This window comes from Homo sapiens, chromosome 18 (assembly GCF_000001405.40).
Source record: "Homo sapiens chromosome 18, GRCh38.p14 Primary Assembly".
Classification (NCBI taxonomy): Eukaryota; Metazoa; Chordata; class Mammalia; order Primates; family Hominidae; genus Homo; species Homo sapiens.
The window spans coordinates 39885655-39901082 of record NC_000018.10 but is presented as its reverse complement, the minus strand read 5'-3'; the positions used below and the strand labels follow the sequence as shown (position 1 = coordinate 39901082).

General features: G+C 38.1%; 2 long non-coding RNA genes across 2 annotated transcripts in view; one reads left to right on the top strand and one right to left on the bottom strand.

The window, feature by feature from the left end:
• LINC01901 (long intergenic non-protein coding RNA 1901) overlaps positions 1 to 15428 on the top strand; it is an 84572-nt gene that overhangs the window by 23785 nt on the left and 45359 nt on the right. The gene's annotated exons all lie outside the window — the stretch shown is intronic.
• LINC01902 (long intergenic non-protein coding RNA 1902) overlaps positions 11090 to 15428 on the bottom strand; it is a 48285-nt gene continuing 43946 nt past the window's right edge. The window contains exon 9 of the long non-coding RNA NR_151703.1: positions 11090 to 14731. This is a non-coding gene — a long non-coding RNA (long intergenic non-protein coding RNA 1902). The remainder of the gene's footprint in view (positions 14732 to 15428) is intronic.

Here is a 15428-nt window from a genome sequence, read left to right as displayed (position 1 = left end):
TCTAGAGAGAGACACTAACTATATGTTTAAATACTCTCTGCTATACATTTTTGAAAAGATAGTCCAGAATAAATGCAGCCAGTGCCTGTGCTTCCAAGGCTGTAGAAACACTGGAGACCCATAGAGAATTGTGTCCCAAAAGGCCTTCAATGTACTTGCCACTTCTAGTTCATTTGGTCCTATGTCTTTGGGGAAAGACTGAAGGCATCATTACCATATATATTGCCCAGGTTGTTGTAGGGCTACTCCCCACAGAGATCCAGTATCTCCTTCAGTTAATGGATTGCAGTAGAAAAAAAAATGAATGATGTCTGGAATCTTGGTAAAGGAATTATGACTTTTACGGAGACAGTAGGCGTTGCCTTCCTGATTCCTGTACTTGTATTTTTATTTCTGTACACTTCAAGCAATATTCTCGGGAGCCTGTCTAGCCCTTAGGAAGACTTGCACTATGAACCATCTCTATAGCTCTCAACAATTATGAACACACTGGCTGTCACTGTGACTTTGCTGCATATGATGATAACTATACCCACTCTTCTAAATGTTGAACGCTGACACCTGACATTTACTGAATGGGGCTACTATCAATTCCATTGTTTTTAGTGAGTTCAGTTATATAACAGTATCTCCTACAGTCAGCCCTGTTTCTCAGAGGACCACCACCACTCAGCTTCTTAGTGATGCTAAGAAGTCACTGCCACTGATGCTAATAATTCACTTATGTCACTGTCATAAATGAATTCATTGTTTTGATAAGCAGAGTGTTCCTCTCTGTATCCTCTAACAAAGCATGAACATTTTCTGGTCTTTCTAACTTTAGGTAGCATATCCAATTTCTGAGCCTCTTGATCCCCTTTTTACCCATCTTCCACAGTAGTTTTGCCATTCCTAGGTCATTTGAAATGGGCATTTCTGTTTCCATGTTTCTGAAATTTATCCTAACAATATGTTAGCATTATAACCCAGGGTCCTTTCTAGAGTGTTAAATTTTATTTTATTTCATTTTATTTTTTGGAGAAGAGTCTTGCTGTGTCTCCCAGGCTGGAGTTCAGTGGCACGATCTCGGCTCACTGAAAGCTCCGCCTCCCAGGATCACACCATTCTCCTGCCTCAGCCTCCCGAGTAGCTGGGACTACAGGCACGTGCCACCATGCCTGGCTAATTTTTTGTATTTTTTAGTAGAGATGGGGTATCACCATGCTAGCCAGGATGGTCTCCATCTGCTGACCTCGTGATCTGTCCACCTCGACCTCCCAAAGTGCTGGGATTACAGGCATGAGCCACCAAACCCGGCCTCTTTTTTTTTTTGGAGTGGGGGTGGTGGAGTCTCACTCTGTCATCAGGTTTGCAGGTTGGAGTGCAGTGGTGTGATCTCAGTTCACTGCAACCTCCATCTCCTGGGTTCAAGCAATCCTCCTGCCTCAGCCTCCCAAGTATCTGGGACTACAGGTACCTGCCACCATACCCAGCTAATTTTTGTATTTTCAGTAGAGACAGAGTTTCTCCATGTTGGCCAGGCTGGTCTCGAACTCCTGACCTCAGGTAATCTGTCCCCCTTGGCCTCCCAAAGTGCTGGGATTACAGGTGTGAGCCACTGTGCCCGGCCTGGAGTGTTAAATCTTGTATTATCAAATAGTGCTCCTATTTCAATAAAGTCTCACTTATCCAACTTTATGTTCTATCCCCCAGAATCAACACTATCACCATCTGTCCTGTACATACTCTCCTGACTCCTGCCTATATGAAGGCTAGGTTTTTAGCTCTTTCAAGGTAAGGTACCTTTCCTTTCCAGACAGTCCCAACAGTTCCCTTAATGTTGTGAATTAATTATTTTTGCCTATTGGTCAGAAAAAAAAATGAAGTGAGATCATGTTGTCTTTCAAGACAGAAGCTCCTGCATTATCTTCAGGCATGGAAAGTGTTAGCATTTAGCACACAATGGACTAAATCTGCAGCAAGAAGATTCAGAAGAATGAAAGCATTCACATTTGAGTACATCAACTCAGATGTCTCCATCCTCTTCTTACAGGCACGCTACTTCCATTTATCTCTACTAAAATTGAGAATGTAACTCTGCTATGCTTATAATTCAGTAAGACATCTGATCCTTAGCCTTTCCTGCTGTTGTGACAAGAGTGCTGTCTGGAAATTAAACTTAGCCTTTGATTGGTGTTGAGTCACTTTCAGGCTTTTATTGTTTTTCTCAAGATATAAACTGCCCTAAGCATCAACCATCAAATTTCGTAGCCCTTATAATGATCATTTCCTCCATATTGTTAGGGCACTGTTTGTTCATTCCTTTCTGTCAGTTTCAGTTCATCTCAGTTCAACACCTATAAAAGTTTTAACAATTGCCCTAATGACCATGCCAGAAGTCACCAGTTCGTCTACAACTACTACTGGCGGACCTTAGGTGGCCTTATTGTCAGATGACCCGGAGCTTCAAAATCTCAATTTTGCAATGACCTTTTGTTAAAGTCATTCTTAGTATCAACTGTCGTAGATTGGCTTTTAAGAAAACAGACTCTGAGATGGAGAACACCCTCGAGGCCAAAACTTATGAGTGAGTGAAAGAAGCAGGATTTGGCACAATTTGGCCTGCAATGCAATTATTAAAAGGCATTCAATGGACTTTTGGAGAACTCTGGAGGTGGATTTGCTGTGTGTAGTTACCCAGATTTGAGGCAAATGAAGTAGCCTTTTGACCAATCATTGGATGTAGGCTGCCAACAAAAAGGGGAAAAGACCTTGAGGTTGGATGGTCTCTTCAGACCAAGACAACCTCTAAAGTGTCTCAGCTGAAAACTGCCAATCGTTGACTGTGCCAATCCCACCTTTGGGAGTGAGTGCTTCTTTTGTTAAGGAGAAGATCTAGGTAACACAACACAGCATATATGATAGCAATAAAATAATTGAATCGTATTCTATGGCATAAAAGTATACCAAGTATTACAGAAGCAATAAATTTCCAAGTTCCTATAAGACTCTATCCCTTCACTTTATGTTCTAGATTCTACACCCTCTTGTCAAAAGAACTTTGTTCTTGTAATTATTCTTCCCACCCCAGCATCACCACTGTCTCTATTTTATCCCTAATGACTGTGTGAGTCCAGTGAGCATGGAAACATACTCTGGTATCTTCTATCAATTAGGGAAGAAAGAAGAAAGAAGCAAGGCAAAAGGTGTGGGGGAAAAGAGAGAAAAAATAAATTTTAAAAATCTTCTGAATATACATACACTTCTTCCAGCATTTCTGTCTTTGTCTGCTTCCTTATATAGAAACATTCTTGAATCAGTTATCTAAAATCTGTCTCCTCTTTCTTCGCCTCTCTCTTACTACCTTCTCCCTTCAGCCTACTCTAAAGAACTGATGCCACTCCATGACATTAAAACTGCTCCTATGAAAGTCCCTAACAACTAACCTATTGTCTATATTAATAATTTTTTCTCTTTATTTATTTTAGGGATTACTCTTGACACTTTTCTAGCTGATATCTACATTCATTCTTTAGGGAATATCATCTAATCATCTGGCTTTAAATACCTTCTACATATTCTAAACACCCAAAGCTCTACAGGTCTGACCTCACCTGTAAGTTATAGAACTCTTTGTTCTTTTATCTGCATGGCATCTCCATTTGGATGTCTATTAACACCACAAAGTTAACATGACTAAAATAGAACTATTGATATCCCCATACAACTGTTCCTTTTTTTTTTTTTTTTTTTTTTGAGATGGAGTTTTGCTCTTGTCACCCAGGCTGGAGTGCAATGGCATGATCTTGGCTCACTGCAACCTCTGCCTCCCAGGTTCAAGAAATTCTCCTGCCTCAGCCTCCCGAGTAGCTGGGATTGCAGGCACCCATCACCACACTGGGCTAATTTTTGTATTTTTAATAGAGATGGGGTTTCATGATGTTGGCCAGGATGGTCTCAAACTCCTGACCTCAGATGATCCACCATCCTCGGCCTCCCAAATTGCAGTGTGAGCCACCGCAACTGACCAACTGTTCCTTTTTTTAAAGCAATGGCATCACCATTGAACAAGTTGCTTAAGCAAAAAATCCATGTGTCATCCTTTATTCTAGTCTTTCCTTTTTTCCCATATTGAACTTATTACCAAGCCCAGTTGACTTTCTCCTCCAAATCACAATGCAGTATCTTCCAAGTTTTATGTCTTCTCTGTGACCATCTTAGTTCAAGCCATCATCATCTCTTACAATATTTTAATAACCTTACTGTCAGACCATGTTCCTCAACTTTTGCTCCCTCCTATAAATTACTCCACGCACAAGATAATTCAAGATTATTTTGGAATTTTAAATCAGATCGTAGACTTTCCCGAGTTAAATTATTTCAATAGTATTTATTGCAATTAGCATAAAATATAAACCCATACCTTGGAACACACAGGTCCAGATAATCAGGTGATACCTATCTTAGCTATGCCTCCCTTCTTGCTAGCTTCTCTCCAGTTGGAACCATACAGACCTGCAGTCAGTTCTTAGATGACCCGATACATGTTCTTTCCCAGAGTCACTGCACTGGCTGTGCCATCTGCTTGAGATTACCTCTCAGTTTGGGCCACTGCAAGTTCTATCTTACCATTAAATGTTTTTCAGTCTCTTGCTCAAAAAGAGCTCTCATGATCACCAATATAAGCAAGTTATCTCATTACGCTTTATCATATTACGCTGTTTATTTTCTGCATTTCACTCATTAATGTCTAATTTTATTTTATTTATTCTGTTTCTCTCTAATACAGCATAAGCTCAGGTAATTGATACTGTCCCTGGAATATTTACTGTCTCATCTTCACTGCTTTAGAATGTGCCGTGCACATAATAAATACCCAATATTCCTTGTAGGAAAGAATGGAGACAGGAAGGGAGAGAGGCTTACAAGAAAAAAAAAAGAAAGAAAAGAAGAAAATACAGATTATTCACCAAATTTTATTTGCTGAAGTTAGTTGCAGTAAAAGGCTAAAGTAAGGTACACATCATTGCAGATCGTGAAATACATTTTATTTTACTGCCTTAAAATTTTTTCCTGTAGAATTACATTAAATATTTGCAAAAAGGGACTATTTCTGGCAATTACCACATTATTATATTGTGCATGTAAAATGTTGCTATGTTCATTGAAAACAATGGATATAGCATTGCATTTAAAGTACTTATCAAGTTAAAGCACCTATGTTTTGAATGTAATTTCTTAAGTGTTGTGTGTCTGAGTTCAGGGATGACATTACATTTTTTTTCTTCTGTTCCACTAACTGAGAAGTAAGCATGTTTAACAAATATTTGCTTAAAACTAAAAGATTATAAATTTAAACAACTTTTCCGAAGTTTTCTTTTTGAGTAATATCCTATACAATTTGGATTATTTTTCTGCAAAATTGATATATAAACTTTTTCTTCTAGTAGGCTGGAATGAATTCCTACTAGACTGACAGTCATGCAGGTAACAACTATAAAGTCTGAATATGCACAATCACACACACACAATTCCTGAGACAGAACAGTTTTTGTAAGAGATTTGACATTTAGAAGAAACCAGCACTAGGTATTAGAAAGACAACTTAAGGTACAGGATAATTAGAATAACTGAAACTCCTTTAAAAACCTTCATATTTTGTGTTGGTAAGAACCAGATGACAGGACCCAGTGCAACCACAGCACCCCACTGCCCACCCACCCCAAAAATGGAGAGGAAATCCTGGGAAGAAGGCAGTTAAAAGTCTGCATATGAACTCTGGCCAAGTCTGTATGTGAACCTTGAACCATACTTGTTGGGGGAAAAACAGGACAGAAACAAATTATCTCAGAGCTGAGGCTAAAATAACTACAATTTGAGCAGTCACCTACTGCAAACAAGGCAGAGCTTGCAGTTTGATATTAATCAGGTTAGTTGCCTTCTAAAACAGGAAATGAAAGCATCCACATTCATCAGAGGAATGTAACTGAATCTATGGTCTCAATAGCATAATATTTACAATGCATCTGTGTCAATGTGTCACATTCATTTGGCTACTAATATTTCTCCATATTGTACATCAAACACACAAAATAACTAGTCAATATAACTGTTTTTCTTATGATCATTGACTTGCTGAGGACTTGTTCTTCTATTTTTTTTTCACATAGCGTAGTTCTCATTTAAGGGATGTATTTTATCCAGCTTGATTGTCCATTTTCTTTTCATTGAGGTTTTCTCTACACACAGTACTATGGCACTGAAGAGTTATTGGGGACTAATTGGCCAAGCAGGCATATATTCCAGCATCTTTCAAAGACTAGAACATAAAAACAACCAAATAGTTCAGAACAGACTGACATTAATCATCTACATTTGCTATCTTTCTCCCTAAGTCCTCCCTTTTATTTAAAAGTCCTTCCTTGCTGTGTGGAAACCATAACAGAGGAACAAGTATAAAACGTGTTAGCCAAGAGGACAGCAATTTTTTTTTATAAGAAGGCAATCGGTAAGTTAGTGAATTGTGTTCATAATCTTAATTTGAGCGTTTGCTCCCAAGAGCATTGTAACATGACTGATGAGGAAGGCTTTAAGCCCGGTGGCAACAAGCTTTTCTACCAATTTCAGAATTCCGCTAAGCAAGACATTGATGGTATGTTGAAAATGTGCAGGGGTAACTGTGCCTATTTTCTTTTAAATTAGCTCCATAGCTCCATAGATAACAGCTAACTGCTTATGTTCTGATCCAGACACATTAAATATGTTCATCATACTTAATGAGTTGATGTTTCCTCTGTGATAAAGGCATCAGCCAATTACTCAACTAGTTCTTTTTTTTTGACTGGAGATAGATAGATAGATAGATAGATAGATAGATAGATAGATAGATAGATAATAGGTTGACAGATAAATAGATATTTTAACAAAAAGACAAGTAATGAACACATATAATGATAGGCTTGATCTATTCTTAATTCCTTATCACAACAGCTTTTTCCAAGCATTTACCCAGTGGGATATTACAGAGCATCTCCTGGGTTTGATTGCTTAAGGTATGTGTAATTATGTGATTGTCTGTATAATTAAGGCGGTGAACAAGTAGGTTAAAATATACCCTGATTTTGATTGCATGCTTTTCAAAGAGGGGCTTTTAAGCAATATCCCAAGAGAGGCTAGTGTGAAAGCTCAAAAGAAGGTGTTCTGTCTGATGCCTATGGGAGACATGACGCAAACCCAGACAGCAAGCCTCATGCTTGTGTGTTCTCTCATGCTGTTGTGCTACAATGTACCAACGATCATTTGCTCCCTTAAAAATCACCCCAAAACTTAGTAACTTCAAACAACAGTCATTTTATTTTATCGCAATTCTGTGGGCCAGCAGTTTGGTCTGGGTTCAGCAGGGTGTTTCTTCTGTTGGTCTATTCTGAGATCATTTATGTGACTGCACTCTACTATGAGTTAACTTGGAGATGACAGACTTAAAACATTTACTCTTACAAGGCTTTATTCTCTAGAAGACTAGAGCTTCTTCAACCTTCTTCACATTATAGCACCAGGTTTTAAGAGGAAGAAATAGAGGCCAGAAGGTTTTTGAGGCCTAAGCTTAGAAATTGTACCCAATTACATTCACCTAATGTTATTTGTCTAAGCAAGTCACAAAGCCATTCCAGAAGGAGTGAGAAAACACACCTCATGTCAAAACCACATTGAAGAGGGCCATGTGTACAGGAAAAGGAGAAATGTTAAAAGTCATACTTAAAGTTTACTACAAACAGAAATTCTAATTCTCTACCACCTTGTCCTTCCCATAATCTTCAAGACAAATTCCTCCTAAGTTCTCACAGAACCCAATAGGAGAGAAAACTCTACAGGAGAAACAGAAACAAATAAGGGTTCAAAACAAAAACAATATATTCAAAGTATTTCTTCATATATCCTCTGGACTATTCAAATGTAGCACTTATAAGACCTGTTTTTAAATTAATTTCTATTTATTTGAATAACCATACTCCAAAGTGTTGTAGGTTTAAGTTACCTTCCTCAACCAAAGAATTCACATGTCCCAGAGTCAAACTCTGGACCTATAGTATATTTGTTCTATAAGAAAACATATTCTCAACAAAGATCTTCTGAGTTGATTTAAACACTTTTCTTCTTGGTTCTGCCTGGATGTTCCCCTTTCACTGAATTATTTTCTCTTGTCCATTGGGTTCCCTCCAAACCCCACATCCACCTCTACCTCCTAATAATTAACAAGACAACTTGTTTAAAACCTGATAATTTATTTCAATAAATTCTCAAGTCCTCCTTCAGCATGTTTTTGAATTTCATTCTTTAAAGCACAGATAATCCACTGATCATGTTTACATAGCACAGCTATGTATTTTTATTACCTGGTAGTGGATATTGTCAGTGCTCTATTTGGATCTCTTTGGATCCTTTTTAATGTTTGCTTTATTTTGCTTGTAATAGCCTGTACCTCTGACTCTTTTCAGAGGAATATCCTTGAAAAAAGGGGGTGATTTCCTGTCCTCAGAGAGAATGGGAAGTACCTAGGAGTTTGGATTCCTGGGGCAGCCCTTGGCAAATAATTCAATGGTATGAAAGCTCAGCTCCCTTGCCTGTAGAACTGGCAAATCTGAGGTGTACTTCATACATCCTAATCCCCCTATAAATCAGGCTGAAGTCACCTTCTGCAGTTCTTTGCCTAAAACTGTACTCTTGCTTGGCGTCCTTCCCTTTTCTGCTTAGCATCCCTCAAGCTCATCTATTTCTCCCAGGAACACATTTCCTAATAGATCACGCTGCACACAAATGCTTATCTCAGGTTTCTGAGTAATCTCACCTCAGATAATGAACCAAAAATCTGCATACGATTCTAAACTTTAAAAAGTTGTCTGTTCTCAACCCCATTTCTGTCATTTTATTAGCTGTATTAGGCTAATTATACCTGATGCTCCACCCTTTGTCTATGGCTGTGTCGAGTTGAATTTTATGATCTATGCAAGCTTGTACACGAATACATATGCTTTCTTTTTAAATATGATGTTAGATAACCTCTGCTTAATACTCACAAACACTCGAGTTAATTCCAATGTAGCAGAGAAATTTTGCTATACCATATTAAATAACCACTAAATCATGTGTTACATCAATAAACGAAAAGTAACTGATTGAGCTAAACATTAAGATTATTTCAGATACATGAAATAATCCTCCAGCCTAAAATATTTAATTCAAACTCAGAATTTCTGTAAGTCTGTCCTTCCTAGAGTCTTCATAGAAAATTCAACAAAGGTTCTTGCAAAATCCAACAGAAGATTTCTTTTTTTTGCAAATTCATTCCATAAATATTGGTGCTTATTGTTTGCAAGGAATAGATACAAGTTGGCTATAATGGGCTTTATCAGTGCTTAGGCAGTTCAGTAATAGCAACCTAGAGTATTTCTAAATCAATGCTATTGGCTGTCAAACATAATTAGACCAGTCAGTAATAGATGTTCCTAGTTCACTATTAATCTCATCAGTTTGTTGGCCAATCATTAATGTAAAAGCATAAATTGAGTGCCTAGTCAGTGCTAATGATTAAGGCATTGCAAGCTTCTGGGAAAAAAAGTAATCACAGCATTTGTGCTAAAATAAGAATTTTACTTAACTTTGAAATAAATAATATATCAAACAATAATAATCTAAATAGTGATTATGTAAAGTCTTTACAATTTGTATTGATGATAAGTGTTGGAGTTTAGAAGAAAAGAAATGAGGACAGAATTATGGACATCTTTACTGAGAAGTAGGAAGTAGACAAAAGAAGTGTGTTGGGGGTTCCCAAGACCACCCACAGGTTTGATGACTTTCTGAAAGGACTCCTAGAACTCAAAAACACTCTTATATTTGTCTACCATGGTTTATTACAGTGAAAGGCTACAGATGAAAATCAATTAAGCAGAAGGCCCATGGGCAAGGTCCAGGGAACACCAAGTACATGTTTCCACATGTCCTCTGGAGGTGTGCTTAGTTACCCAGAGACAATGTGTGACCATATTTGTGCAGCATTGCCAACCAGGGAAGCTACCCATGCCTTAGTGTCAATGGATTTTATTGGGGTTCAGTCTCATGGCCATGTAGCTCCTACATGTCTGACATTTAGTTTGCTTAGACTCCAGACTACTTTTCCCTCCAGAAAAAAACACAAGCATTTACCAAAAACTACATTATCAGAATGAACTTACATGGTCAGACTGGTCTGCTTGGCCAAAGACCTCAGGCATACCAAATCAATCTCATCAGGTAAAATATTTTACAAGCTCACAGATTATCTCCCAGGAGCTGGCCAGTGGTCACTGAGGATTGCCCTCCCTTTGGAAAGTCCAAGGTTTGAGCAACCCAGGCTTGCTAAATGAGTACTTTCCTGCCCAAGTAGCTTGGCAAGGAAAGTTTGTAAAAAAGTGATCAAAGTGCAATTTCAGCTTGAAACATTCAGTTTGACATACCAATTACTACATATTCCACTATCAATAGCATATCCACTGGTATTCTCCATTTCTGGAGAAATAAAAGTATGTATTAATGTTGCAGAAATAAGTTATGGGACTAGATGGATCTGTGATTGGAGTGGGTAGGAAAGTTGAGAACCCAGTTGTGTTTCTCTTATTTGAATGTAATAAAACATCATGAATTTCAGTTGTTTCATTATATCACTTCTATCTTATTTACTCTATTTCATCAAATCTTGTTTTTAATATTTTGTTCTTTTTAGAGGATGGAACATTTGTGTTTAGCAAGTTGACATCTTGTAACTGATGAAAATCCAAAGTGTGGGGTATATGAAACAAGCTCTTTTGGCTTCAAAATGTGCCACTCTCAGCTAAATCCTAAGCTCTTTGTCTTTATTTTCTGGTCTTCAAAAATATACTAGAAATGCTATTTGACAAAGGAAAGATAGTCTAATTCTGTAGGGAGAAATAAAATAAGAAGATCCTAGTGCCATTAGGGGCTTTACATATTTAATATGTACATATCTTATAACTTTTCAAATAAGAAGTAGATTCTGAATTAATAAGACTTTAAGAAAAAAATAAATTCAGCAATTTTAATGGTCATATTTAGGTTAGCATAACTCAGTAAACCAATAACAAACAACACAAATGAAAATATATTGAGCATTTAGTCTGTACATTTTATATTTGATAATTAAAAAGCATATGTCAATGTAAGTTGGCAGCATGGTTGTTTGTTTGTTTGTTTTTGTATTTTAGAGATGGGATCTTGCTTTGTTGCCCAGATTGGTCTCAAACTTCTGGCCTCAAGCTTTCCTCTGACCTCAGCCTCCAAATAGCTACAACTACAGGTGCATGTCACTATGCCTGGCTAGCAGCAATTTTTTTGTTTGTTTTGTTTTGTTTTGTTTTGTTTTGTTTTGTTTTGTTTTTGAGATGGAGTCTCACTCTGTCTCCCAGGCTGGAGTACAGTGGCGAGTTCTCGGCTCACTGCAGACTTCGCCTCCTGGGTTCAAGCAATTCTCCTACCTCAGCCTCCTGAGTAGCTGAGATTACAGTCACATGCCACCACACTCCACTAATTTTTGTATTCTTTAGTAGAGACGGGGTTTTGCAATGTTGGCCAGGCTGGTCTCGAACTTTTGACCTCAGGTGAGCTGCCTGATTCTGCCTAACAAAGTGCTGGGATTATAGGCATGATCCATCTCGCCCAGCCCTGACAGCACTTTAATGAAAATAATATATAGATACTTCACAAGGCCAAAGGAAAGAAGGGAACAGGAGGGGGATGGAAAGGGGAAGGGGAGGGAGGAGAGGGGAAGGAAGAAGGAAAGGGAAAAGCGAAAAGGAAAGGAGAGGAGAGGAGAGGAGGCTGGGCGCGGTGGCTCGCGCCTGTGATCTCAACACTTTGGGAGGCATAGATGGGCAGATCACAAGGTCAGGAGTTAGAGATCAGCCTTGCCAACATGGTGAAACCCCGTCTCTACTAAAAATACAAAATTAAAGTGGGGCGTGGTGGCTCACGCCTGTAATCCTAGCACTTTGGGAGGCCAAAGAGGGTAGATCACCTGAGATCAGGAGTTCGGGACCAGCCTGGCCAACATGGTGAAACCCTGTCTCTACTAAAAAATACAAAAATTAGCCAGATGTGGTGGTGCGCCTGTAATCCCAGCTACTAGGGAGGCTGAGGTGGGAGAATTGCTTGGACCAGGGAGGTGGATGTTGCAGTGAGCTGAGATCATGCCACTGCACTCCAGCTTAGGCAAAGAAGGGAAGGAGTAGGGAAGGGGAAGGGAAGGGAAGGAGAAGGGGAAGGAGAGGGGAGAGGAGGGAAGAAAAGAAGGGAAAAGGGAAAGGAGAGGAGAGGAGAGGAGAGGAAAGGAGAGGAGACGAGACAGGTAGGCATCTCCCAGTGTAAGATAATAATCACATCTGTTGACTGAAAAAATATAGAATGGCCTATTACAATAAATTATATTCATTAAATTTATTTTTATTGTAGTAGTCATATTTATAAGCATTTTGGGGGGTATTTTTTTGTAGAAACAGGATTTCACCATGTTGCCCAGACTGCTCTTAAACTCCTCAATTCAAGTGATTCACCAGCCTCATCCTCCCAAATTATTGGGATTACAGGTGTGAGCCACCACGCCTGGCCTATTTATACATATTTAAAGGAAACATGTTGAAAGTATGTTTATTGCTTGGTAGATACATGTTTCAGTGTGTATGTGGAGCTACATGCAACTTTATTTCCACAGCCTTCCTAGCATCTAAAAACCAAAGAATGGAACCACTACCCTTGATTAATCTACCTAACATAACACTTTTTATCACTTAACTCGATAAAGTTTGGTAAATCATTATTCCCTATGGCATGTCTGTAATTGAATTAAATTCTTCACTGTCTCACGAACATGCAATACCGAGTACTGACTTCATGGCTTATTTTGTGCTTTACTTCAATGTGGTATTTATTCTCTCTATAAATTCAAATATTATGCAAGTTAAGACCTATCACCGCTGTGATACCCTACTAGATTGTTCCAGTTTTTATTGACTGTTTAAAAGGTAAATTATCATAAAGGCTAGATTTTATGATATATGATTTAGCAATTAGACCTATTATATTATTAATATTAATAATTATTCACTATCATTTTACATGGTAGTCTTCTCTAAAAAATCTAGAACAGGAGCCCCCAACCCCTAGGCCACAGACCAGTACCAGTTCATGGCCTGTTTATAACCAGGCTACGCAGCAGGAGGTAAGCAGCAGGTGAGTGAGCAAAGCGTCATCTGTATTTCCAGACACATTACCACCTAAGCTCCGCCTCTTGTCAGATCAGCAGTGGCATTAGATTCCCACAGGAGTGCAAAACCTATTGTGAACCACACATGCAATGGATCTAGGTTGCAAGGATCTCAGTTCCTTGCTTCTTATGAGCATCTAATGCTTGATGATCTGTCACTGTCTCCCATCATCCCCATATGGGACCATCTAGTTGCAGGAAAACAAGCTCAGGGCTCCCAGTGATTCTATTTTATAGTGAGTTGTATAATTATTTCATTATATATTACAATGTAATAATAATAGAAATAAAGTGCACAATAAATGTAATGTGCCTGAATCATCCCAAAAGCATCTCCTACCCTGGTCCGTGGAAAAACTGTCTTCCACAAAACTGGTCCCTAGTGCCAAAAAGGGTGGAGACCGCTGATCTAGAACATGAGTTTCAAGGTCTGTAATTATAACTTCTACTTGTTAGATCTTCCCTCCTTTAATACCTAATTTCATTCCTGATGCAGAGCATTATTGCTTATCATATTGCTACCTATGAGGAAGTCCTCAGAGGATGTTTGTTTTTTCTAACAAGAGTTGAGGGTTTAAAATATACTGCTTCTTCCACATACCTTCTTGTTTAGAATTCCCTTCTTTCGGAGTCTACTAGTCATAGAAAAACTGCACCTGGTCTACCCTCTCCAATGGTAATCTTGTTCTCAGGTATTGATGTCTTATCATATTTCTTGCCTATATTTTCCATTTGGAATTAGATTTTATTAAATTCCATAATTTTTCATCTTTTTACACATATTCTGTTTCTCCAACTGGATTAAGTTAAAGCACAGAGTCAGAGACTGTATTTTATGCTTTTAAATATTACCTGTAGCAACTAGCACAGCTATGTAAGGGGAAAGTGTACTCTTGAAGTCAGTCAATGGTGATGCTAAAGGATAGACACAATGAAGCATAGAAGATTATACATCATAGTATATGACATGGAATTTCACATTTTTATTAATAATAAAAGTTTTCTATTTTACTCTATTGAATGAAGCTACACACAAGAAAATATCTGATTTCTTGGTAGGCACATGTGCATCATATAGTGGTGAAAATAATCAGTAAATTGTTTAATTGTTTTAAAGAATGATTCATTTTCAATATTTTCTTAGGATTACTAACGTAAGGAGAAAGACGCAAATCATTCTTATAGATAACAAAATTTTGTTTCTATGTAATAACGTAAGAGCCTCTCAGACATGAAACTTGGTCTATAGTCCTATAAATAATGACTTCTCCAGCCAAGCGACTCTGCCTTAGGCCCAACTATGACCTGAAGTCTCTGGTGAAGTGGAACTATGCTTGCTAGTAGTGTCACATTGCTTGGATTTTTCTGAGTCTTTTTCACACACCAAGATGGTTTGTCAGTGCATTGTGATTGTGTGCCAGGAGACACCTCATTACTGGTCTGCATGGAGACAAGAAGGAAGTGAAGGAAGCTGACATGGTTTGCATTAATTACATAGCTATCTGTTGTTCTTGCAGCCATCCAAGCATATAATAACTTAAGTAGAGTTTCACTGAGTTAGAAGCTGCAGACTCTTGTTATGTTTTAGCAAGCTGATTCTCTATTATAGCAGTCAGTACTTTTATGTAAAGCCTGACAAAGAGCAATAGGGGCCACAGACCTTTGTTTTCTCCTGGCACTCAGTGCCACTAGGATATTTTCAGTGTGCGAATACAAGAGAGGAGGTCATGGATCGTGCCTTTAGAGCCAGAGTTAACTCTTCTAATCATTTCAAGCTCACGTACGAGTCGATTCTGTTTCCAATCAGAAATTTGATCCAACCAGAAATTTTATCCAACTAGAAATATGTTACACTAAATATAAAAAAGAGGCTCATCTATTTTTATATTTTTTAATTAAAGACATTAAAAGTAACTACAACTTCTATCAAAGAATATATAGTTGCTCAAAAATCACTGATGGAAATGTGAGATACAGTGGCATGTTGTGAAGAATGGTAGTCTTTTTCATTCACAAAGCGGTGTTGGCACTCACAGAGTTTAGCAACAGTGAAAGCCAAAAGGGTTTCTTTCACAGAAGAAACAGTGTATTAGTCAAAATGAAAATACATCTCTTAAAATTTTGGAAATTGACGTTT